The sequence below is a fragment of the Homo sapiens genome, chromosome 3, assembly GCF_000001405.40.
Source record: "Homo sapiens chromosome 3, GRCh38.p14 Primary Assembly".
Taxonomy (NCBI): Eukaryota; Metazoa; Chordata; class Mammalia; order Primates; family Hominidae; genus Homo; species Homo sapiens.
Window position 1 is genome coordinate 167,895,151 of NC_000003.12, and position 25,038 is coordinate 167,920,188.

At 35.6% G+C, this 25,038-nt stretch overlaps 1 pseudogene across 2 annotated transcripts in view; it reads left to right on the plus strand.

The window, feature by feature from the left end:
• The first annotated feature begins 797 nt into the window (after positions 1–797).
• LRRC77P (leucine rich repeat containing 77, pseudogene) overlaps positions 798–25,038 on the plus strand; it is a 28,064-nt pseudogene continuing 3,823 nt past the window's right edge. Inside the window, exons 1-5 of one of the 2 annotated variants that reach the window (NR_033843.2) lie at positions 798–934; positions 8,156–8,300; positions 10,713–10,905; positions 17,636–17,754; positions 19,911–20,053. The product of NR_033843.2 is annotated as a leucine rich repeat containing 77, pseudogene, transcript variant 1 (transcript). The remainder of the gene's footprint in view (positions 935–8,155; positions 8,301–10,712; positions 10,906–17,635; positions 17,755–19,910; positions 20,054–25,038) is intronic. The other variant, NR_145443.1, reaches the window with a different exon arrangement.

Below are 25,038 nucleotides of genomic sequence, written 5' to 3' on the forward strand. Positions count from 1 at the left end.
TTTGAGAGGCCGAGGCAGGTGGATTACATGAGGTCAGGAGTTTGAGACCAGTCTCTGAAGCAGTAAAGACTATGGGAGAGTTTACTATGATTTTGGCAGACAGCAATTTCTTAGTACACAAAAACACAGCTACATTCTTCTATTTTTGGGAAAGGAGACATACAACTTTCAAGTTTAGAGGACATTCGTTTTATCAGCTCATGAAGTTAAAAATTCACAGTGCTATCTATGTACACAGCAGACACTCAGAGCAGGATAGTTGGATCAATAAGTAAGTACACATATACTCCTTTTTTTCCTGAAAAGTTGTAAAAAATTTGCTTTGAAATAAATATCTATTATTTATTTCTTGTTATGAACAAGGCAGAATTCCCAGTCTTCAAATCACAGGAGTTTTATTTGAGCAAACTTCAAGCAAGAATTGGATATCTTCCATTTTGCTTCTTTTTCTACAGAAGAGAAGCAAGAAACCAAATACTGGGGGATATATTGCACAAGTATAACTTCAAGAAACCCAAGCCAGTGCAAACAATTCAAAAAATAATGGAACCCGAAGACAGCGAACCTTCCAGGGATGCTATGGACATTTATCCCCTCTGCTAACATTTATGTTTCTGTAGTTGAGGTTCAGTTATATCACAGTTTAGACAACTCCCTAGAAACAATGATCCCTGTTAAAGCTGCTCCAGGAGCACAGGAATTCCTTTGATGAGCTCTAAGAGATTGGTAACAATACCTCCTGAAGGGCCGTGTTGCTAGGTAACAGCTTGTTTCCTTGGTCACAGTGAATCCGTGGAAGACCCCCAAAAGAGGCTGCAGATTCTTAGTGGACAGCTCTCATATCCCCTCCAGGGAAAATGATGAAAAATGTCTTCAGAAAAATAGCTTTATGAAGGCAAGAGGACTTTTTGCACCTGCAAGACATGTCTGAAAGGTAAGAAAATTAAATTAAAAGTAAACTTCATCATTAGTTGAGCTAGAGAAAAAAGCCAAACAAACGTAGATAGTGTTACCAGATTAAATTTCCTTTAGAGACATAAAGTCATGCAGCCTACATTACTGATTATGGTTGCCTTAAGAGAGAAGCAAACTCAACTGCCACCGTCTCCCCTAATACCTGGTTACAAATGCAATGCAGTTTCTGTGATCATTGTTGTGATGGAGAGAGGTGGGCTTACTCCTTTAGTAATGGTATGTCTAAGAGACACAGGACTCTTCAAGAAAGCATTTGTGATTTTCATGAAAAAAATAGGCAAGATAGCTGAAAGGCAATATCTATTAGTGTTTCAGTTTAAAAGAAATTACTATCATAAAAACATGACTTATACCAGCTCATTAAAGCCACAAATTAGATTAAATAGAGGCCCAAACCCAATGTTTGTTTCCTCACTCCTAAATTTCACAGCTGTCTCGTAAGTGTTTCTCAAACATGCTGATAATTAAACAATATACAGTTGGAGATTTGCATGCTTCTTGAAAATTTTTTTTGTTTTTATATTTTATATTAGTATATAACCTGGCTCTCACTTTTTAAAAACTGATATTTGCATCTTCAATTTTCAAGACTAAGTACATCGTGGTTTCATAAAAGTGTACAAAACTTATTTATAGCTTCCATTTACTACCTATAATTAAGATATGAATTGTGTTTAGGTAAGGGATTAGAATATCAAAGGAGTGATAGAAATTCTATTGTTTAGCCAATTCTGTATATCTCAAACAGTGTCAAGATACTTGATTTTAACATTGAAAATTAAATGTGTATTAATTTCGAGAAATTAGCATACAAAACAATAGTTTAAAATGGGTAGTAGTTCCGTGCAGAATTGTAAACTTCATTTTTTCTCTACTTAATAAAACTCTTTTAGTACACTATAACAAAAGGTTTATTTGTTCAATATAAAATGATCTTTACTATCAGCATTGTTATTTTTCAACTAGTAAATCTTTATAAAATGATTTTAGAGACAGCCTAAAAGAGTGATACCCAGGATACAACTTATTTTTATTTATTTATTTAATTTTATTTTTTATTTTTGGATACACAGTCTCACTCTATCGCCCAGGCTGGAGTGCAGTGGTGCAATCTCGGCTCACTGCAACCTCTGTCTCCCAGGTTCAAGAGATTCTCATGCCTCAGCCTCCTGAGTAACTTGGACAACAGGCCTGCACCACTGCACCTGGATAATTTTTGTATTTTTAGTAGAGACGGGGTTTCACCATGTTGTCAGGCAGTTCTTGACCTCGTGAGTTCAGACAATCCACCCACCTCAGCCTCCCAAAGTGCTGGGATTACAGGGGCGAGCCACCACACCCAGCCTACACCCAGGATACAACTTAAACTTTAATCTTCAAATTGTGAAAGGCAAAAGAAGGAAGGAAGGAAGGAAGGAAGGAAGGAAGGAAGGAAGGAAGGAAGGAGGGAGGGAGGGAGGGAGGAAGGAGGGGACAGGAGGGGAGGAGAGGAGGGAGGGGAGGGGGGAGGGGAGGAGGGAGGGGAGGGGGGAGGGGAGGAGGGAGGGGAGGGGAAGAAGGAAGGAAGGAAGGAGGGAAGGAGAGAGGGAGGGGAGGGAGGCAGGAAGGAAGGGAGGGAGGAATGAAGGAAGGAAGGAAGGGAGGGAGGGAGGGACGGAAGGCGGGAAGGAGAAAAGAAAAGTTTCTTTGATGACAGTATTTCTTCAATCACATTTCTGCAAATCATGAAACAAGAATCTTATTCATCCCACCTTCCTAAAACACTGTCATTTCATTTGGCATTTTATAGTTTTATTTCTGCTAGCAAGATCTACCTCAATCACATATTTTCTTTTAGTATCTATATTCTTCTAGCTCATAGTGCTGTATGTGGTTAAATTTGCAAAGCTGTAACAACATAGGGAATAGTAGATATTCATCAAGTATTGAAAACCACCTAAGCTGCAGCTATAAATGTTGTTACAATATAGCTCTAAAAGTTTCTAAATATAATTTCATAGAGGGAACATAGAGATAGTTCAGCCTATCTTCATTGGTTCTGTTATTTGAATATATCTTTTGCTTCTATAAATGTCAGTGAACCCACTAGTAGCTACTGAAGTTTACAAGTTTTACCTCTAGAGAAGTATTATAGGTGTTTGTTCTTTTACTTTTGTTGTACCTTAGTTTGGTGGCCTATAAATGTTTATAAGAATATTTATGGGGCTAAAATAATAGAGACCTGCAAAATTTATGAGAATAAAAATTGGGTCACATAAAATCTGACTCATTCAGACTGAGGTAGAGAAAAAGCAATTGCAATTGTGAATTTTTCAAAATTGAAATTTATTATTGTATGCTTTTAGAATCAACAATCTAAATCATTTAGGACACATCCGTTGAAATTCTAGGCTTTGGGATAAGTGAAATATTTTTGGAATATCTCTAAAACACCTAGCTTTTCAGAATAGTTCACTGATAAATAATTATTTACTCAATTTACATGTTTACTTCCAGCAACTTAATTTAAAGCTATCAGTATATAGTAATAATCTTCAAATTAAAAAATCTAGCAAATTTGCCAGTGTAGAAATTGACAACTTATAATATCAAATATCTTCCTGACTTTATGATAACTCCATTGAGAATTCTTTCAATTTTCTCATTACCATGTCTGGCATGTAAAGAGTACAATCATGACCCATTTTACAAACAAAACACAAGCATAGAGAGGACAGAAATTCTGGGTTTTAAATATTTTAAAAAATGGTCTGAGAAATCAAAGAGGCTGAATTCACATTTCCTTTCATTCAAATTTAATGCTATAGAGTTCATAGTAATTCTATTCTAGCCCATGCCTCAGAAGTACCTGGCTTTGGTGAGATCCCACTGAATTTGAGACTCCAGCTCAATATTTTTTTAGAAGGAGAAGGAGGCTGAGAGATTGGAAAGAGTGCCCTTTGCTAACTGAAAAATAAAGTTGAACATGCTTTCCTTCCTTCTAAATACAAAGCCCTCATGTTGAAGCAATGAATATAAATGGAACATTTAGAAACTGAGTCACATGCTATACTATTTTGACAACCCTACATGTCTTAAAGGAGCCATGGCCTGTGTATGATGTGTGCTCAACATATCTTTATGCAACCTAAGAGCTCAACTTCACCTTAGAAAGTGGGCCATCTGTCACTTCCTCCTTCACTCGCCTTACAAAGTTACATAATCACCAACTTGACATTTTAATCAAACAGATAGTAACCGTTGCTGCAGACAATGTATGAGGCTTATAAAGTTGTGATTGTAAAGAACATTGCAATCTTCTGCTGAAAGGGCTCACGAATTGATACATTATATTATTGTTGTTCATCCAGCAGTCTCAGCTCACCTGATCCTTTTTGTTATCCATTCTACACCTTTTTTCAACCAAGACTAGATGGCCAATTCAGATAACGCCAGCTATTTTAAAGACACTATAAATCATGGTTGACAAATGCTGTACAGTTTTAGCCATGGTACCTTCTCCATGGCAGCTTTATATTGGAACATTAATAAAATTAATTCCTCTTTCATAAAGGTTTAGATTTGTAATTTATGATAACTTTGTTCACTGCAGGCAGAAAGATTAAAAATAAGTAAACCAATATACCAACTAAACTGCATTTGTCTGGTTTTATTTTCTTTTGGGAAGGGGAGATGGGAGCATTTAAAAAAAAAGTTTGATGTTATCTGGAATGGCGTTCTCATAGGTTCTACTACTGAAGGCTTAACTTTTGTTTTCAATAAATAATAACTGCTTGAATTTACATGTTCTATTAACTAGTACAATTATATGTGTTTAAGTGAAGTAATTAAAATAAGAAAAATCAATATTAATGATTTTTCTTAATAACAACTGCACCCTAATGGTGATAGATCTCTTCAGTAATTTAAGAAATGACAGTAGTTTATCTGCATCTTGTATGAATTCTAGCAGTTAAGATCACTGGTCATTTACTAATGTAACTTGAGCAAGTTACCCTCTCTCTCTGTGCCTAAATTTCCTCATCTTTAAAGTTGAAATAATGTTATTCATTTCACTAGGTGATTGGAATGATTAAATGTGTTAATTCATGTAAATCTCTTAGTATAATGCCTACCACATAGCAAATGTCAATAAATGTAAACTGTAAAAGTATAATTTTAGTAATAGCAGCACTTGTCATTATAGCAGTAATATTACAAAACAAAACACCTTATCCCTGAGGCACAGTCCACATTATCATCTGAATATTAAAGATACAGAACTGAGGAGCAGAGATTATGCTAAATGCCTTGACGAGGGTCATAGTAGTCACTGGTTTTCAAACTCCTAGGACTTGCAGTTCTTGCCATTTTGACTTCAATGATGTGCACATTAAGGCAGTTGTAGATGGAGAAGTTTGAGTGAGTTATATAACCTAACCTGGAGGGTACCCTATGTTTTGTTTTATTTTTAAAACTAAATGATCAGAAATGATCTTGTTTTGCTGAGATTTCTCCAAAGGAGCAGACTGAAGAAAAATCCCATATGGAATTTATAACAGAAGTGACAGAACTAAGATTCTGAGAATGTCCCAGAGGTTTTTAACACAAGCTCCTCCCAGCACACTGCCCTTTATCACTGTACCCTGGTGTGGTGTCTGGAGTAATACAAGAATGTGAGAAAAGGATCCAGACTTTGGGGCCCACAAGCAGATTTCACACTCAAAGACAATCCGACTAGTCGTCTATTGATTGGAATTTTCTTAGCTGAAACACAACCATTCTTCAATTCATTTTTCTGTCCATTCTGAAAAAAATGAAATGCATTGAGAGAGAGAGAGAGAAGAAAGAGAGAGAGGGAGAGAGGGGAGGAAGGAGAGGAAGAGACAGAGAGAGAAAGATGGTAAGGGTGTTAGCTGCCTACTTACTTGTATTACTAAAGTTTTAATTACCTTCTATTATTAATAAATGCCTGGTCATTACTGGGATAATGCCATAAAGAGTTCTAGTTTAAACCAGAAAGAAATCTAATGTAAACTAAGATGATGAGATAATTTTCACTTCTACTTTAAAACTTAATTTTACCTTGAGGTTGTTAGGCTTAGTCTTGCAAAACTACACAAGAAGGTACAATAAAAACCCAATCAACTGGATCTTTCTTATCAGATCTTGTAATTATGTGAACTTTATTTTCCTTGTGTCCTACTTTAAGGAGATTATATAAGCAAGATAAAACCATGTCTCATACTTTAGAGGGAGACTTCCAAGTTATTCTATTAACCCAACCCCTCATTGTGTAACCATCGTTGGAGTTTGTAATCACAAGACACAAGTCACTGAAGAAAGATTTATCCATATTCATTGTCCTTATTTTTCTTATTTTATTCTGGCATAAAATGGCTAGCATATTTTAGTAAAGACAAATGAACCCAAAAGTCAGTTAAACTTTCACTCCTGTTAATCCTCTGATATAATATTCTCTTTCCCCTCAATTTTTTCTCATAATTACTGGCTAAAACTCCAGGTTTAGATGGCAGGATTTATCTGCTTTAGGAATAATAAAATTCAGAAATTTTGAGTTTGTTTCTCTAATGTTTGTTAATTTGTTTTTATGACACGATGCTTTTTGATAATTTCAAGAAATAATATCCAAACCGTTAAAGAATTGCTCAAATGAGACAGAAATGAGAAGCATATATGTTTTGATTTTTTTACATAATTAAGACCAAATTCTTGACTTTTGAATTTAGCGGCAGACAGAGAAATAATTTTCTTCTTGATCATAGGTCATTTTTTAAAAAAATTAATGGCACAGTAATGATATTTTAGAATATGAAACTTTTTAAAGAACGATGCTATTTTAGAATATAATCGTTGTGCTCTTCTACTGTACTAGCTCAGTTAATAAGTGAAAAATGAAAGATGTTTCTACATTGTACTTCATGAAGGCAACCTTAATAAACAAGAAGTGTGTAGTTTCCTATCAGTGAAATTGCTATTAGAGTCATAATAAATGTGCTAAAAATATAGAATACTTTCTCTTAAGATTCTTGGCGACTGAAAAATAATCTACCAAGAGAAAAAAAGAGACCGTAACTATAGAAAGATGTCATTTCTAGTTTTACTTCACACACAAAAAAAATTTAGATTAAAATATTTTAAAATTATTGGCTTAACATAACGTACAGCATCAATTACAGAAAAAGAAACTTATCACTATTTCTAAGGAGAAAGGGAAAAGTGTAAGAATAACAATGAATAATAAACCAGAGAATTAGTATAAAATATATTTTACATCTCAGTGGTGTAAATATAGGAATACAAGGAGAATTGGACTGTTGTTATATGAAAGGGTTGAGTGGCATTCCAAAGTGAGTAAAATTGATTAAAGAATCTGACTTTTTAAGTCATTTGCCACTAATCTAAGGAAATATAATAGGCTTGGGGAAAATATCGGGAAAATTTAAGTTCCAGAATCATGCAGAGATTTTAAGGATGGCTATAAGTGCCAGATCTGCAGCTGTAGCTCTACTAGGAATGATGTTCCAACATCAACATAAGGGCTGTACTCCTTGGTATCTTATAAGCGTGTGTGTGTGTGTGTTTTCATGTATACTATTAGATGCCTTTTTCAAAGACACACAGTCTATGCAGCCACCCTTACCTTTGAGGAGAATTTGTCTTAAGAGACCATTAGCCATAAAAATTTGCTTAGAACTATGAAAAGAGGTAAAAATCCTTCTAAAATCTACGGTATTATCTTTCTTTTAGGGGAAAACTTTATGCTTATAATTTGTTGTTGGTTGTGTTTTTTTTTGGTGTTTTTTTTTTTTTCTTTTAGACTGAGTCTCTGTTGCCCAGGCTGGAGTGCAGTGGCATTATCTCAGCTCACTGCAACCTCCGCCTTTCGGGTTCAAGAGATTCTCCTGCCTCAGCCTCCCAAGTAGCTGTGATTACAGGCACACACACCACCACACCCAGCACATTTTTATGCTTTTAGTAGAGATGGGGTTTCACCATGTTGGCCAGGCTGGTGTCGAACTTCTGACCTCCAGTGATCCCCCGGCCTCGGCCTCCCAAAGTGCTGGGATTACAGATGTGAGCCACTGTGCCCAGTCTGTTGTCGTTTTAAACAAGGATATTTACATTAAAAAGCTGTAAAACACATATATGAACACTTTAAGTGTTTTCTTTTACTCAGCTCCTCAGGTCAAAACACAAGTAGTCAAGAGATTTGTCCATCTAATTCATCATACTACTCTGATCCAAGTGAGACCCACACTGGGTCAGCTCCATCAAGGAGAAGAACATTCCACCCACGTTTGGATTCTGGAATATCATCCTTGGTAAATATTTTTAATTAACTCTTTACCTGATGATAATTTTATAGAACATATTTTATTTGATATTCAACGTTTCAAAATAAGTATATTAGCTGTTTATCCCTACCCTTGTAATTGTGAGAGGAGAAATGAAAAGTTGACACTCTCAGTTCCAATTCAAAGAGTAAAAAAGAAAGAAGTTGGATTGGAGGAAGGAAGATCAAAAAGGAGGAGAAGATGAGTAGAAAAGATAATGACCATTAAAGCCAAAATGGCACTCCTTCCTTTCTCCTGCTGAGTGCAAATTCTGTCTCTATTCTGCGATTTCCTTTCCTTTCTTTCTGGAATTTCCTTTGTCTGCAAGATACATTTTTCTTTTTTCCTGAACTCACCACTTCTAAGACATTCTCTCTAAGCTATCTAACTGGAATCATACACGCCTTTTCCCCCTTCCCTTCATACATAATTATTCTAGCCATCCCTCTGGCTTAAGGTGAGTTATTCAAATGTCTACCTGCCAAATTACAGAAAATTAGTTTTTCAAGCACAATTATCATGTTTTATTCAACTTTCTATCCCCAGTGTTTAACAGAATGCCTGACATATAATGTGGTAAAATATATATTTTTGAATAAAATGCGATGAAGCATGCTAGCATCAAAAAATGTTTATTGAACAATATATTAATCAATTGGCCCATCAGAATTAAAAAAAGGAAAAATTACATGGCAAGACACAAATATTCGCTCTTCCTTTAGGAAGAAACAACTGTCACACAGCTGCACCACTCTGACAACCTTACACAGAAATACATAAAAACATGCAGCAGCTCATTTTCCTACAATGTCAGAAGTTCCAAAATCAACCACTTAGCTCCTTAAAAAATAAACGGGTTTTTGTACAAAAGTAGATGTCTGGTGAAAAATGAAAACTTTCCTCTCAAATACAGCTTTAGCTTAGAACAATTTTTCTTTTCCCAGCACAAGCCTCATAAAATAACACAGAGGCAGTGGGTGTGGCAGTCCTAGGTAACTTAACTTCCAAGACATTTTTATTCTATAATAGAAGCAAGAAAAGAAAAATTCCAAACTCACATAAGGTGTTGGGAAAGAGGCTTCCATAATTATATAAACCAAACAGCCAAGAGTAGGTTGTAGGCTATATTCCTTAGTAATCTAAAATGTTTTGTGTTTATTGTTTTCCTAAAAGAATAGTACAAAAGGATGATTTCATTTCTTGAAAGCACATTAACAAATCCTCAGAATATCTCCAAGAATTGCTCAAGCATAAGTTAACTTTTTAGTGTTACTGATAACAAGGTAGACAGCTTTTGTTACTAGTTCTATTTTTTAAATGAAGATATTGGGATATTTATTGGAGCAAGGCCAAGGTCATTCAGTGAGTAAGTAATGCAGCTAAAATATCAAAGTTAAATTATTATTAAAAAGCCAGCTCTTCTCAACTTATTTTGGGGCAGCACTTGCCAAATTCTGCTCTAAAGAACAGAGTATTTGTTCCAAATACTTAACATTTTTTAAACTAAATATTCTGAGTTTGTTTGTACACATGTTTAACTTTGGCTAACAGAAGAATGAATCTATGGTGTAAATATTTAATATAATATTCTTTTCAAGTAATGTGCCTTTTGTTTGTGTTAACCTTGAAATAATAACAAGTTATATAAAACACTGGAACTTTGATTGACTACAACCTCAGTGTTAGTAAACAATTAAAATTGCCCCAAATGTGATCTTGGTACATGTTCTAGTCAGTAATATACTGTCCAGAAAAAGATAGCTTTACCTGAAATATTTCATTCAGTTTGATCTACACATTTTCAGAGCAATGTCAGTAAGTTGAAACTCTTTCCAAGAATAACCACCAAAATATTTACTAATTTATAGACCATTATCTATGAGTAATAATTGAATGACTTAGGAAGAGAATGACAACTATAATTAAACATTTAAAACAGTAAGCATACGTGGAAGGATTCTCTGTGCAGCCTTGAAAAAATAGAACTTGTACAATTGGAGCAAGTTAGAGGGATTATGTAATAAGCAGGGTCCATGTAATGAAGACATTTTAACAATTAGAACTGTTATAAATGGAATGAGACTGCTCGTGAGATATTAAAAAATATTAAAGGATGATTTATATAAATTGGTCTAAAGGGGATCATGAATGGGTACATATATTTATTCATGCTGTCATTTACCATCAAATGTAAAACAGCTGCAGGTGTTGGGGATGCAAAATTGAATAAGAACACATAATTTAGATTGGATAAGATGATTTCCATGAGCACACCATTAGATATTTGGAGTTCAATTTGGCTAAGTGTTTGGCATGGATTTGCATTACTTTTACACACGGAAGCAAAAGAACTACATATTGCCAGATGATATAGTGTTTCTCTTCTCTCTTGTTTTAAAGCTTCCATCAGATTCTTGTAAGTACCTCACTTGGCACAAGGTAGACATGACGTTCAAGGAAGTCAACTGCGTTGCCCAAGAGTAAGAGAAGGTAAAAGAATAAATGTGTGCCTTTTTCGTGTACATCCTCTGAATAGAATTTTTTGTGGATTAAAAGACATTACTTGAAGAAAAAAAAAAGACACCATTTGGAGGTAAAATTTTCCTTTTTCAAGACCATAGAATTGTTGATAAGTGAAGCCACCTTTGAAGGTATATTCTTATAACTGATTATATAAATAACTAACATTCAGTAATAAATATTGGAAAATATTGAAAGATAAAGAAGAACCTGTAACTGACTGTCCAGATTAACCACCGTGACTTTTATTTCCATTTACTTCTTACACACACATACATATATGTAATTTTTATTTCTTAAGTTTTTTCACTTAACAGAATGATATTGTCAGCATTTCTTCCATGCCATTAAACATTACCCAAAACATACTTTTTAAAGCTTGCATACTTTTCCATCATATTAATATCATTAAATATATTAAATATATGTAACCAATAATCGTTGTTGGAAATTTATTTACTATTTTTTATGATAACAAATAACACTGTCATTTCAACTGATGACTTTACATTGACTTAATTCTATATTGTTTTTTTCCAACAACATCAAAATAGAATCTAAATGTGTTCATCAGTGTTCTCCAGAGAAATGGAACCAATAAAATACACCTCTCTCTCTCTCAACATATACATCTCTCTATATATATAAATCTATACATCGAGAGAGATATATATATATCTAAAGAGATAGATGATAGATAGATAGAGAGATGAGACTTATTATAGGAATCACATGATTATAGAGACTGAGAAGTCCTACAATATGCCGTCTGTAAGCTGGAGAAACAGGGAGGCCAGTGGTAAAATTTGGTCTGTGTCTGAAGATCTGAAAATCAGGAGAGATGATAGTGTCACTCCATCAGGGTTATCAGGGGCCTCAATGGGTTGCATGATGCCTGCCCACATTGGTGAGGGCAAATCATTGCTCAGCCTGCTGATTCAAATGCTCATCTCTTCCAGAAATGCCCTCACAGGCTGTGATGGATAATTTTAGGTGTTAAATTGATTGCATTTAAGAATAACTAGATAAACTGGTAAAGCATTATTTCTGGGAAAGTCTGTAAGGGCATTTCTGGAAGAGATTGGCATTTGAATCAGTGGATTGAGTAAGGAAGATCTGCCTCACCCAGTGTGGGTGGGCACTATCTAAGTGGTTGAGGACCTAGGGGGAACAAAAATGCAGAGAAACAATGAATTTGCTTTCTCTTTTGGAGGTGGGACACTAATCTTCTCCTGCCCTTGGACATAAGAATTCGAAGATCTCTGGCTTTTGGACTCTAGGACTTATATCAGCAGGCCGCCAGATTCTCAGGTGTTCTCAGGTCTTCATCCTCAGACTGAGTGACACCATCAGCTCTCCCGGTTCTTAGACCTTCAGACTCAGACTGAGTTACACCACTGGCTTCATGGGTTCTCCAGCTTGCAGATAGCATATGGTGGGACATCTCAGCCTCTATCATTATGTGAGCCAATTCCCATAATGACCCCCCTTTTATCTATCTATCTATCTATCTATCTATCTATCTATCTATCTATCTATCTATCTCATATTGGTTCTGTTTCTCAGGAGAACCCTGACTAATACACAGACATATCCAGGAGTAATGTTTCACCTGTTGTCTGGGTATCCCTTAATTCAGTCAAGTTGATATCTAAAATTAACCATCACACTAAATAAACCAGGTAGTCTCATTTAACATTTTCACACAGCACTTTAAATTTGCTGGAATAACTATGTTTTGCTATTATTATTTTATTCTATCAGGTTTTACAAGGGTAATAGTATAACAATCTGAATAACCGCCATCTGCAGTCCTTGATATACATAATGTTTGATTTCAATAAGCAACTTTCAATAGATTATAAATTCTGTAAGAACAGAGGCCATGCATTTCTCATGTCTTTTTTTGCATCCACAAAAGCCAATGAAATAATATTAGACATAATTCCTGCTTCAGTGAGTGTTTAGTCTCCAGGAAACATCAAATCTTCGCTATCTTCCATCTATATTAGCAGATTTGCAGTAATATTGTATATTGCACAATTTTACTGTTGATTTAGGAAAAGTGGCTTTAGGTCTATTCATCTGCTCATTTTCCCTCTCAGTGGATCCCCACATGATGCTTGTCTTCTTTCACTCAAACTCAGTTGGCAAAAGAAGGGGAACTAAAATAGCGTAATTTTCTTATACTTTGAGTAAAATATGTTCTTATGCTTCAACTTTGTCAGCTCTATTTGCAGCCAAGCACTGACTCCTATTTTTAAAATGTGAGTAGATAGTACTACTAGGGATAAATCAGAGTTGTCCTTTCGGGACCTTGGGAAGATTTTTTTTTTTTTCCCAAGAGTGAGAAATTGTGAAGAATTAGGAAGGAAGGACACCAAGAGAAGTGGTGGCTGAGTGTGTCACATGTGTCAGGAGTCCTCCAGCAAAAGGAAGAGAGAGCTACGTCACAGGCTAAAGCAGGAAGGATTTTAGTCCTTAAGCTTTAGTGTGTGAACAAATCATCTTGAGGTGTGTGAAAAGTCAGATTCCTGGGCCCTACGCCCACTGAATCTGATGTAAGGGATGGCGCCCAGAATCCAGATTTGTAAAAAATTATCACAGGGAATTCTGTTGTAGATGATTTGAAGGCCATACTATGAGAAACACTGGTTTAAGAGGTATGAAGAAAGGGAGAGAAGAAAGAAATTTGAATAGGAAGTGAATAGACTGATAAGTAAAAATGCTGGCATGAGTGTGTGAGTGCAGAGGCAGATGGTTGATAATTGTGGCAGCCATCATAAGGCAAAAAGAAATCGTATTCTGAGCACAAGTGCTGGGTCAGGGTTTAGAGAGAACTACAGAAACTAGAGATGACAAGGAAATAAAATGTGAGGGTAAACTGAAAATGAGCTTGTGCAGAGAATGTCCAAAGTTCTCCTTCTCTCCCTGACTTAAGTGGCCAGGTTATGTGCTGAGGTCATCACTCAGCAAAACCAATCCAATGTAATGACCATGGTGGCCATTCATGCAGAGGACATCATTGCTCTGCAGAGATAAAAGCACATTTTCCTTCTGTAGGTCATTAACAACACCCAATCTCTTGTAAGTGACTAGTCATAAAAGGACCAGAGCGTGATCTAGGGGATGGAAAACATTTGAAAAAATCCCATCTCCTCAAACCAGGGAGAAATAGATGTCCCTCCTTCATTGCTCTTAATTTTGTTTAAGTTTGTTTTGTGACGTGGAGAACAAATGCTTTTCAAAAGCACTTTGAGAAGAATTACCCTCCTTCTAGATTAGATCTGGAAACACCCATCAAAGCTACTTCGGTTTATCTCAATTGCCTCAATTGTACATTCAGAAAGAGCTCATAAGACAGGAAAGGTTATCTGGTGTGTGATAAACAGCAATTGCCTAAGGCTTCAATTGCCAGATCAAGACTGACTTAAATTTTCACAATTAAATAAAGCAAAAAAGTAAACTGGTGGCAGAATTCTTTTAAAGAATAGATTCTTTCCATTCAAAAATATCCCGGGAAGTTAGTTCAGTGACTGCTATTATGTGTTACAAATCCAGTGAGGGGACAAAGAACAGGCTGAGAGGGAGCAAGTGAAAGTCAACATCCCTGAACTGTCAGATATTCCAGACTGTAGTTCAGCTGCTAAGATATATCTTCAATTACCAACCAAGTCTGAGAAAAAAAAGAAAAATCCAATTTAATTCAACTCCTCACAGTGGAAGTGAACTTCGGCCCCCAACTTCAAAGAAAGCTTTGAAAGCTACTTTAAAAAGAAATAATTAAAAGAGCAGAAGATCAATAACACTCAAACAAACAATACAGGGAAGAGTTTAATAACTCTGGGTTATCTGATGTACAGAGAAAGCTGCCAAATTTGAAGTGGGGGTGGGTGAAAGACAATACAGCCTGAGGGTCTCCCTGCTCAATTAGGTGATTGCTCCAGTTTTCCACTTCTATGATTTTTAAATCCAAGCATCCTTATCAATGAAGAAGAACATTTCGTAACATAAGGATATTTTATTTGTAAGTCGGTTGAGATACTGCCTCATTCTGGGTCAAAGGATTTCCTGGGTGATAACAGCAGAGTTCATTATGAGAGAAATGACTGAAAGGGAAGTCTACACCCTGGCCTCCACCTGCCCCCGGTGTAAGAACTGATGTTCGTGCCGAAATAATAAAATACTGGACTCCCTCTTATTGCCTTCCATAAACTCTTCACAAATGAACTTACTACTTTCTATCATAGTCCACAAAAGCCCACAGGCCACAAAAGCAAAGTTTGTCTTTTGATGTCCTCAGTGTCCTTTTTCCTTTATTCTTTTACCTTTGAAATGAGGGGAGTCACGCATTCCAGAAACACAGAGTGGAGAAAGTGCATGCAAATGATACCAGATGTGACTCATAGAAATACACCATGATAGAGCTGGTAGGGAATTGAAGTAATTTAGTGTAGGGTTGCTTTCAGGGGCCTGGTTGACATAATATCAGAGTGAAGTTGACATAATATCAGAGGGAAGCACGAGAGAGTGTAGGGGCCTATGGCAATAAAAAAAGCCTATATTGTCCTTAAAGTACTAGAAATCAGTATTTTTGTAAAGCACCATACATGCCAAACAAACATGTTTTCTCACCAAATTCAGTTCGTGGTCAGCCCTTGATTTAGGTCTTCCCCCTATTTTTGCAGACATGAAAAACTGAAGATCAGGATATTAAAATTAGTCATCTGGAGTCCCACATTTACCTACCAGCCAACTTCAGACTGCAAACAGGACATTCTTTCCCTAACCCTGAAAGTTGTGTGCAAACCTTATTTGAAGGATGATAATGTTGGAAAATAGTGAGAAATGAGTTCAGAAATGGAAGTTGAGTTAAGATTATGGAAAGCCTTATCTGACAAGCTAGGATTTGTAGGCAAGAAGAAATTTCCGACATGTTTTCAGTAGTGAGTCCTGGGGTAAAAGCTGTGTTTTAGGAAGGTTGTATGGTAACGTTTGTTGTTTATATTGGAGGAGAGAATGTTGCAGGCAAGAAGATTCAAGAGAAAATAATTACAGTTTAAGTAGGAAGACATGAGAACCTGGACATTGAAAATGAAGGGACAGATTCTCAAAGGGAAAACTGCTAGGATAAGGTGACTAACTGAATTGAGACACAAAAGAGAAAGAAAATCAGGAATGACTTCACAATCCCCAAAGAGAAAATTATATGAAGATTAAATCACTATACTAGTGATTGTTCTCACTTGACTGGGCTAGAAATATTTATGTATGGTTAAAAGTTAATTCTAGGCCAGTAGTGGTGGCTCAAGCCTGTAATCCCAGCACTTTGGGAGGCTGAGGTGGGTGGATCATCTGAGGTCAGGAGTTTAAGACCAGCCTGGCCAACACGGTGAAACCCCATCTCTACTAAAAATACAAAAATCAGCCGGGCGTGGTGGCACATGCCTGTAATCCCAGCTACTCAGGAGGCTGAGGCAGAAGAATCGCTTGAACCCAGTAGGTGGAGGTTGCAGTGAGCTGAGATGGTGCCACTGCACTCCAGCCTAGGCAACAGAGCAAAACTCCATCTAAAAAAAAAAAAAAAAAAAGTTAATTCTACTTGTTGGCTTTTTTTCTACCATTAATAGAAGTAACTCCCTTCTCCTTTTAATAGTTCTAGAAAGCAATTAAATTATCTGTGAACCTTGAAATATATGCCCAGAATTTAAGGTATAAAAAATAGAGATATTTTATATTTTAACTGTCACATTTTCATAGTGATGTGCTAAATCTGAATTAAAAATAAATCTATGAGTGAAATTTTAAGCTAAAGGTCATCTGCAGTAACTTAGACCATGGATAGTATAAAAAAGGACAATTTAGGCCTGGCGCGGTGGTTCACGCCTGTAATCCCAGCACTTTGGGAGGCCGAGGCAGGTGGATCACGAGGTCAGGAGATCGAGACCATCCTGGCTAACACAGTGAAATCCCATCTCTACTGAAAATACAAAAAATTAGCCAGGCGTGGTGGCGGGCGCCTGTAGTCCCAGCTACTCAGGAGGCTGAGACAGGAGAATGGCGTAAACCCAGGGGGCGGAGCTTGCAGTGAACCAAGATAGCGCCACTACACTCCAACCTGGGAGACAGAGCAAGACTCCGTCTCAAAAAAAAAAAAAAAAAAAAGAACAATTTAAATAACCTAATAACCTTATAACCTATATTATAGCCTTAATATAGTTTAAAAAAAAACTTTCCTTTGCTTTTTAAGCAAAGAAGATGAAAAAGAAATAAAGTTGCTGATTTGTTTCATATTTCCCCTTTTTTGTATTACTCATCTTGTTTTGAGAGGGCTCGGTAGTAAGCCCCTCACACACAGCCACAGGCTCCTATAGCAGAAGGATAGTGAGAAAACTGAGTGGTTTAGATATTTAATAGTCATATTTTGATTAATTTATTATTGTCATAACTGTGAATCTGATTTAGTGTTGTCAAATAAGAGGTTTAGCTCAATTTTCCTTAGAAGAAATGAGAGGAAAGTTAGTTGGCAAAATTAAAAAAAAAATGATTTTCAACTATTAGAAAATGAAAAATGTGGTGAAGTCCTGGATCTTTTCCTGTCTTCAACCTTTCCCCCAACCAGGTTAGGAAGACAGGAGTGGGTTAAATCATTTTATTACTGCTCATACTATGTGGGTCAAATCATGCTTCCCCAAGTTGTGATATCTAGTGGGAGTTTCAAACAACTGGCCAATAGCAAGTGAAGATACCAGTCCTGCCCCCTAAACATACTTCCAAAATCTCAACTTGTGGTTCTTATCTAGGAATCTCTGAAGAAGAGCAACTTTTCAGACAGGTAGAGTGTGCCTTGCTCCCAAGGAAAAGAGTTCTTGAAAAAAACAAATGGGAAACATGGCTACAAGAAAACTGGGAAGACTGCAAGGTGAGACCTTTTTCATTTAAAAAAAAAAAAAAGCCTATTTTTCCATTGATTAAATTGTGACATCTTTTTTTTTAAAGGGAATAAATAACACAACTTTTAGCATCTCTTCAGAGCTTTCTGTAAAACTCCCAGTGTTTAGGCTTCTCTGTTTCTTTTTCCCCCTTCTTTTCATCATAATATGTTACATATTTTCTAACCTTCATTTTAAGCTGATATTGCTGAACTTTGAGAATAAGTTTAAAATATTTGAGAAGAACAAAATTGTTGTTAATAATAAAAATGTCAAATGTTGGACAATAATCCATATCAATGAGTTTACAATGCAATCTGGAATCCTTTGAACGATGCATCAGGATGAAACTTTTGAGCAGCCAGCTCAAACAAAGCTATCCTGGAATAAATCAAATTTTTCACCAGTGAGGGAGCCAGATTTTCATTTCTTGGTGCTGAAAATCACCCTGCTGACTGAGCCACTAGCATTGAAACATCCCCCGCAGTTAGTCAACCTGACCACTACAAAGCTGTGGGGCTGTGACTACTCAAGCTCCTAACTCCAACTGGATCAAGTCATGCTTAGGCAGAGGATTGAAGATTTAACTGGGGCAAGTGTTTCTGGCAATAAAAGAATAAGTCAACTTCCTCATAACAGAGTGAGAGGCTAATATTTTTGTATTTTAAAGGGATAAAATTATACTTGAAAAGTCTAAGAAGTCTTCCAGAAGTGAAACAGAGCCTAAAACTCCTTGTTGAGGACTCGTGATGCCTCCTTTGCTTCACAGACTTACATACCATAGAATTACGAAATTAGGGGATGAGAAGGAGCTTCACATAGGGTCTGGTTTAAATTTCTTAGTTTCAGAAAGGAAAAGGAAGTCCAGGAAGAGAACTGACTTACCCAAAGTTATGCAATTTTTCAGGGAAAGATAAGAAAATAGAAGACTATGTCCCAGTATGGCTCTTTCTTTTCAAATTAATTTTAAGTTATTCATATATAATGAATGGATACAATCTAGTACAAATATAAACAACACATCTGCTTATTTATTTAAAAGATTTAAACAATACATCTAAGCCTTTGACATCCATTCCCAGACTCTCTTTAGCGGTAGTCATTTTGGTGTCTATATTCATTCCTTCTTTATACTTGCAATTTTAACCTTGGGTATACTTTAAGGTCAATGGAGCCTTGCTAATAAACTATCATAGAAAAATTAATTGTCCTTTCAATAACTATACTGTAAGAGAATGGCTAAATAAACTCTAAACTATCATAGAAAACTTAGCTGGGAAATAGTGGTACATTTTTTTAAAAACTTTTCTGAGGAGATGATTTTAATGCATAGGTGATACACATAAACTTTTATCATTTCTCAAGTTTTATTTTAAAATAAAGACCTTGTGTGCTTTTGGAAAATAAAATTTCAAGTATCAAATTTTATAAAGTATAATATCTAAAAATATCAAGATGTTAATAACCTTTCTAAAGATAATGTCTATATTTCCTTAAAAACAGCAAATTATCTGGCCTCAAATTTTTAAAAAAGGGGTTGTCATTCTATTCAATATTTTTATTGACAGAAATTGATGGCAAAATATGGAAATAAAAAAATTAAGTTGACTTTTAGGAATGCAGTTTACAAGAGCAATGCGACCACTGAGAGTGGTAGCAATGTATTTTACACCAAAGTTGCCTGATATTAAAAGTGAAAATAAAATATTCAGTATCTTTGAAGCACACCAAATCATTTTTAGGTATGCATCTCTAGTTACTTTAAACAAAATCATAGGTTTCATCTTCCAAATGATGTTATCTTACTCTGAAAATTTTATAAATGTGATTTCTGAGAATTTCCAAGTGAGGCTAATGATTACTGATCGTGTAAAGCAGTCAGAAATTTATCCTTTCCATTCTACACCCCTAGAAAATCTCAGAATCTGCTTGAGAATCCGGTCCTTCTTCCTCCATACACCCATGGAACACTCCCAAACTCTGTATGCTGCTCACTAATTCTGATTAAGGTCTTCACCCTCCCTACCTTGGAAATTGCTACAACATAATTGTGTTTGTATGTATAATTAATATATACAATACATTTTAAATGAATAACTAAAGTTGACAAAAACCTCACTTTTTTCTTTTATTTGTTTTTCCTCAGAATTTGAACATTTCATTTCAGGGTTTGGGGGATCCTTACCAAGTTGAAAATTTTAACAGAATTCTTAGAAGACTAATTCGAGTTGAAACCCTCTGGTTAGTGGATAATTCACTGGTGGACTTAAGTGCCATAAGATTGCCAAGGTATCTGCTCTGTAGCATGTCTAGTGAACAGGTTAAAGTTAAGTCTTTTCTATTTGGATACATGTGATCATTGGCTGTACATACTGCACCTGGCCCCCTGTGGTCAGGTCTTAAAGATGACACTTTGCACTAAAGTGGCACATACGGCAAGGCCAAAAGAGAAATTTATATATCAGAATGTCATACTTTAGAGGGAAACATCTATTTTTAAAATTAATATTTTATTACCAATTTTTAGGAAAGTTATTTGTATGAGCAGAAAAGTTTGCCATTTTCCTTGTGTTATAAACTAGAAAATGCAATTACCTGACATATACATTATGGTTTAAGAAATTAATTTTTAGTTAGTCATATTTACTGAACACCTATGGGGAAAGACTTTACAAGGTAGTTGACAGTAGTAACCTTTAGGGTAACATTCTGTTATTGGAGTGGAGGCTGGTTATCAGATTAAAGACAGAAATAAACTAAAAATAAAATATATATATATAGACTCTTTGGTCTTTCAAGGATTCCAAACTCATATTGTTAAAAATAATCTCTTTCTGCTCAGGGATTGCTAGAGAACCCCTTTTACAGGGAGCTGCTATTTGCTTCAGCAGGCAGAATGCGTAGGTGGAGTGAGCTTTGGTGGCAATGAGAGGGGCCAACAGAGGTCCTCAGGAGTGAATTAGATGAAGGAAATTGAGCATCCACAAAAAGGAAAGGTAATTTCTAGACCAAGTTAATATATAATTCTGAGCATTGGCTGAGAGAAGGTCACAGAAAGAGGCCATTATAGCTGTACACAAGAGGCAAACAGGCTGGCAGACAGGAAGTGCCAGGACAGAGAAAGTTGTGTCACCATCCACTTGCTTTGCCTCCCTTCTCTCCCCTAACATTTCCTATTGACTGGGGCAATCTGTGATGTGGTGAATCTGAGATACTGAAAGGATGAAAGGATACCCATAAAAAAGTGAGAGCATGACTGGTAAACAAGAAAATAACAGATTTCAGAGGAGAACGGGGAGAGAGGCAGGGGGCAGGAACTTCTTGGGCTGGTTTTTCAATGAGAAATTGTCATACTACTGAAGTGCTCCTGAAGTCTGTATGAATTCTGGAAATAAGCAGAAGCCAAAAGTTATCAAAGATAAGATGAGAGCTATATAAAATGTACATATGGAGAGGGACTGAAAGGAAACAAGAAAAATAAAAATAATAAATTCAAAAAATTTACAATGAAATCTGGTTGGTTCAAAGGGATTTTTTTTCCTAATGATTCTCTGTTGCAGTTCTCTCTTTACAGCACCCTCTTTCCCATTAGCAATGACCATTTACCAAGTGTCTTTGTGGGGCCCAAGGCCCATAAATATGTACCCTGTATTTATCTCATGATATTAAATCGTAACTTATACATAAAGGAATTTTTCCTTAAGGCAAGATGTCAGTGATAGATTTTGAATTATTTTCTCTATTTGCACAGTCATGTACAGTTATAGTTTTAAGGCAAACACACTGAGAAGCATTATCTATCAGGAAAATGTATTAAATTTAAATGCCTAACACATTTTACTGTTTCTAAGGATATTTTTAGTTTTCTTTTATATTAAAAATGCCTCTTTTCTGATTTAAAATGCTCTTTTCTCAATATAGAAGTTTTTAAATTACAGAAAGGTAGTAAGAAAAATAACTATAATCTCACTACTTAGAGGCAGTATTTTTCACAAGTTGTTATTTTTGTGTGTGTCCACTTTTATATTGCTGCGATGATATGCAGCTATTCATCCTTTTATTCAGAACATATCAAGAATCCACCATGGGCCAAGTCAGGTACCAAGCACATTCATTGGAAAAGAAAACAGATTCCTGTGCTCCACAAACTTATGGTCTCATATATCTTGCTTATTTTCTCTTAATATTCTAATATAAATATTTCTCCTTTTTTTGCAAACCATATTTGTCACATAGTTTGCATGTGACCATCATGACAGTAACATCACTGTTACTCTGTTGAGGGGTTATTGTCTACATAAGGCATGCTAGTCCTATGTTAGATTTAGTAGTTAACCATTCTCTTTAGGAGACAAGTAACAAGATGTTTATCTTTTGTATCCAGCTGCAGAATTTTAAATATGAGCAAAAACCATCTCATATCTTTCAAACAGTTACCAAGGATACCTCAGATACAGCATTTATCCTTGGCCGAAAACCACATTGAGACTCTTACTGGATTCTCCAGTTTACGGTGCACTCCACTGGAATCCCTTATTCTCAAGAGGAACCCTTGTGAGTTCCACCAAAATTACAGGAAGCAGTAAGGCCGCAGACACACTAAGTCATCTTTTGCACTTCATTGAATATTATACTTTTAACTATATTTTAAAATATTGTCCCTCTCTTGCTCAAATTTACCCAGCAAATACTTATAGAATCTACTCTATGTTGAACACTTCATGCTTCTGATCTCACCTAAAGACTTTTGAACTAATCTTTCTTCATCTTTTAACAATTTTTTCTTAATATACTCTTTTCTCTTGGTTAATTTATAGTTACTGTGCAGATTTTTAGGCTCCTTCTGTAATGACTTTACCTATACAAAGTTGTTTAATTTTAGACTTTCAAATTCCACATTTTCTCCCACATGCTTAATAGATATTATGTCTTTTAAAAAATTATACATACATATATATTTTATTAAGTTCTATGTGACAATTTTATAAATTGTTTATTCTCTGGTTTTACTTTCACTCTTTGGGCCCCAAGGGCAACATTAAGTGAATACGAAGAATTCAATTTACTCCAGTGCTTGAAAGAGCTCAAAAACCTGCCAAGAAGAAACCATTTTTATTACTTTGTCACAACTGGGAACATTCCTAATGATAATAATGGAACCTAAACCTTGAAGTGTGCACCCAGTAATATGCCCACTTATTTATCTCCAGCTAATTCCCAGTACCACTAATTAGTGTACTTAGGGGAATTAAAAGGATAAAAACAAGCAACTGAATTCTACAACCTGTATTTCCACCCATGACTGAGGTCATCTCCCCTCCCAGGCGAATCTGTCAAACAAAGAGTTATATCATCTCCAGGGTCCATTTATATCCTATGATTACAATCTTTTGTTTACTTCAATTTCAGTAAAAGACGTAGTTTTCACCATCTTCTTTTCTCACACTGCTCTTTTCCCATGAACAGCAACTGTATTCCAGAAGCCTATATGATGTTAGACTCTTCAACGCCTGACGTACAATGAAAATTTGTCAAAATAGAAATTATAATCTCTGTTGTTACATAAATCTCATTACTCCAGTTGTCTGCCCTATGACTGGAGTCTGGAAGCAAAATTTCATGTCTGTGATGATAATAAATTCTTAAATTGCTTTCACATAACAGTGAAAACTAGCAGCACAGTTGCTGTAATATTGAGCTAATATTTAACCATAATAATATTTTGGAGGTTTAAAATTATATTTCCTATAATCAAAGGAGGTTTAGCTGGACATTTCAACATCATTCATAAGAAAGCACAGTCCTAGTCATAAGGATAATTTAATAGTATTGTATTTCAGTTTTGTTAATTCATATGTGGGGTTTTATAAAGCATTTTGGTCCCAACTCAGCCACTTGCCTCTCTTCAAAGAATGCCTTACAATAATAGTATTAAGATGAATTGTCTGAAATTGGATATGCCCTGAGGTCTTACTGTAATTCCGTCTACAAAATTCATGATGTGGTATAGAGTTATGTAGGAATGAGGGATATAATGAGGTTCTTCTGTTTTTCCAGTATTAACTCTATTGGATTGAGTCCAAGGTGTATATACGCTGACTTTCAAGTTAGAAAAAGCCAGGTTATATTAACTTAGGTAGTGCAGGGTTACATTGAATAGAATGATGGGGTCATTTTAGAGTATGAAGAAAAGGTTTAAGCATCCACTCATGCTAAGGAACTAAGTTGGAATCAGAAGTTCATTCAAACATGGATTCAGTTACCCAGCCAAAAATCCACACCTTGAAGATTATAACAGCTTTCATTTTGTCACTGGGTATCTGTGTTGAGGATTTGGGCCAGAGCTTCAGATGACTCTTTTTACACACCATGCTCAGAATTATTTAAAGTACAAGCTTTTCTTGACCATTATCACCTAGAATTGTGACTGCTTTCCCTTCCTCCTTTGTTTCAGATCCACCAATAAGAAGACAGCACAATTCAAAAGAGAAAGGACTTAATGACAGAGCTAATAATGTAAATCCCAGTAGGTTAGAAGGTGGCCCCATTTCTGGGACACCTACAGGCAAACTTCTCTATCATTCTCTAGGAGTCAAACATGATATTAGTTCATTACTGCTTAACTTAAAAAAAAAATCAGTGGCTAGAAATTCTTGCCAGCTAAGTATGAATTTTGAAGCCAGAAGACATAGATTTTAATATTTGCTTTGTCACCTACAGGCCTTATGATTTTGAATAAGTTACTTAAAATGAGGGATAAAAACCAATCTGACAGAGTTGTTGTGAGGATTTAAAGAGATGCATAGGAAGCAATTCATGTTAAGAAAATCATGCAGCCAATGGGGGCTTTCAAGGAGGTCAGTTCCATCATTAGCTGACTTAGCATATCTGCTAAAAGGTTTCAGTATCTTTCATGCAGGCAAATTCAAATGCCATAGATTTCTCCCAGCCAGAGCCCTCAGAATTCCCAGATCTAGAAAAGCTGTCATTCTAAAGAAAATGCTGCTTTTTAATGCCGCTATGTACATGACCACTGTTAACTGGATTGAACTGAAGGATCTGTTTCTGAACATAGAAGTGACTCCCTGAATTTGAAATAGGAGCTTTAGAAGTGCTCGCTTTCAGGAAAAAATAACAGCATAATATTATTTCCCACTCCCTCTTTTATATTTATCAGCCAGAATTCTTCTTTAACTATCACTGAATATTGTGGGCTTGCTTTACTTTCTCTCTCTTTCTAAACTTTTAACTTTGTAATGAGCATATATATCATG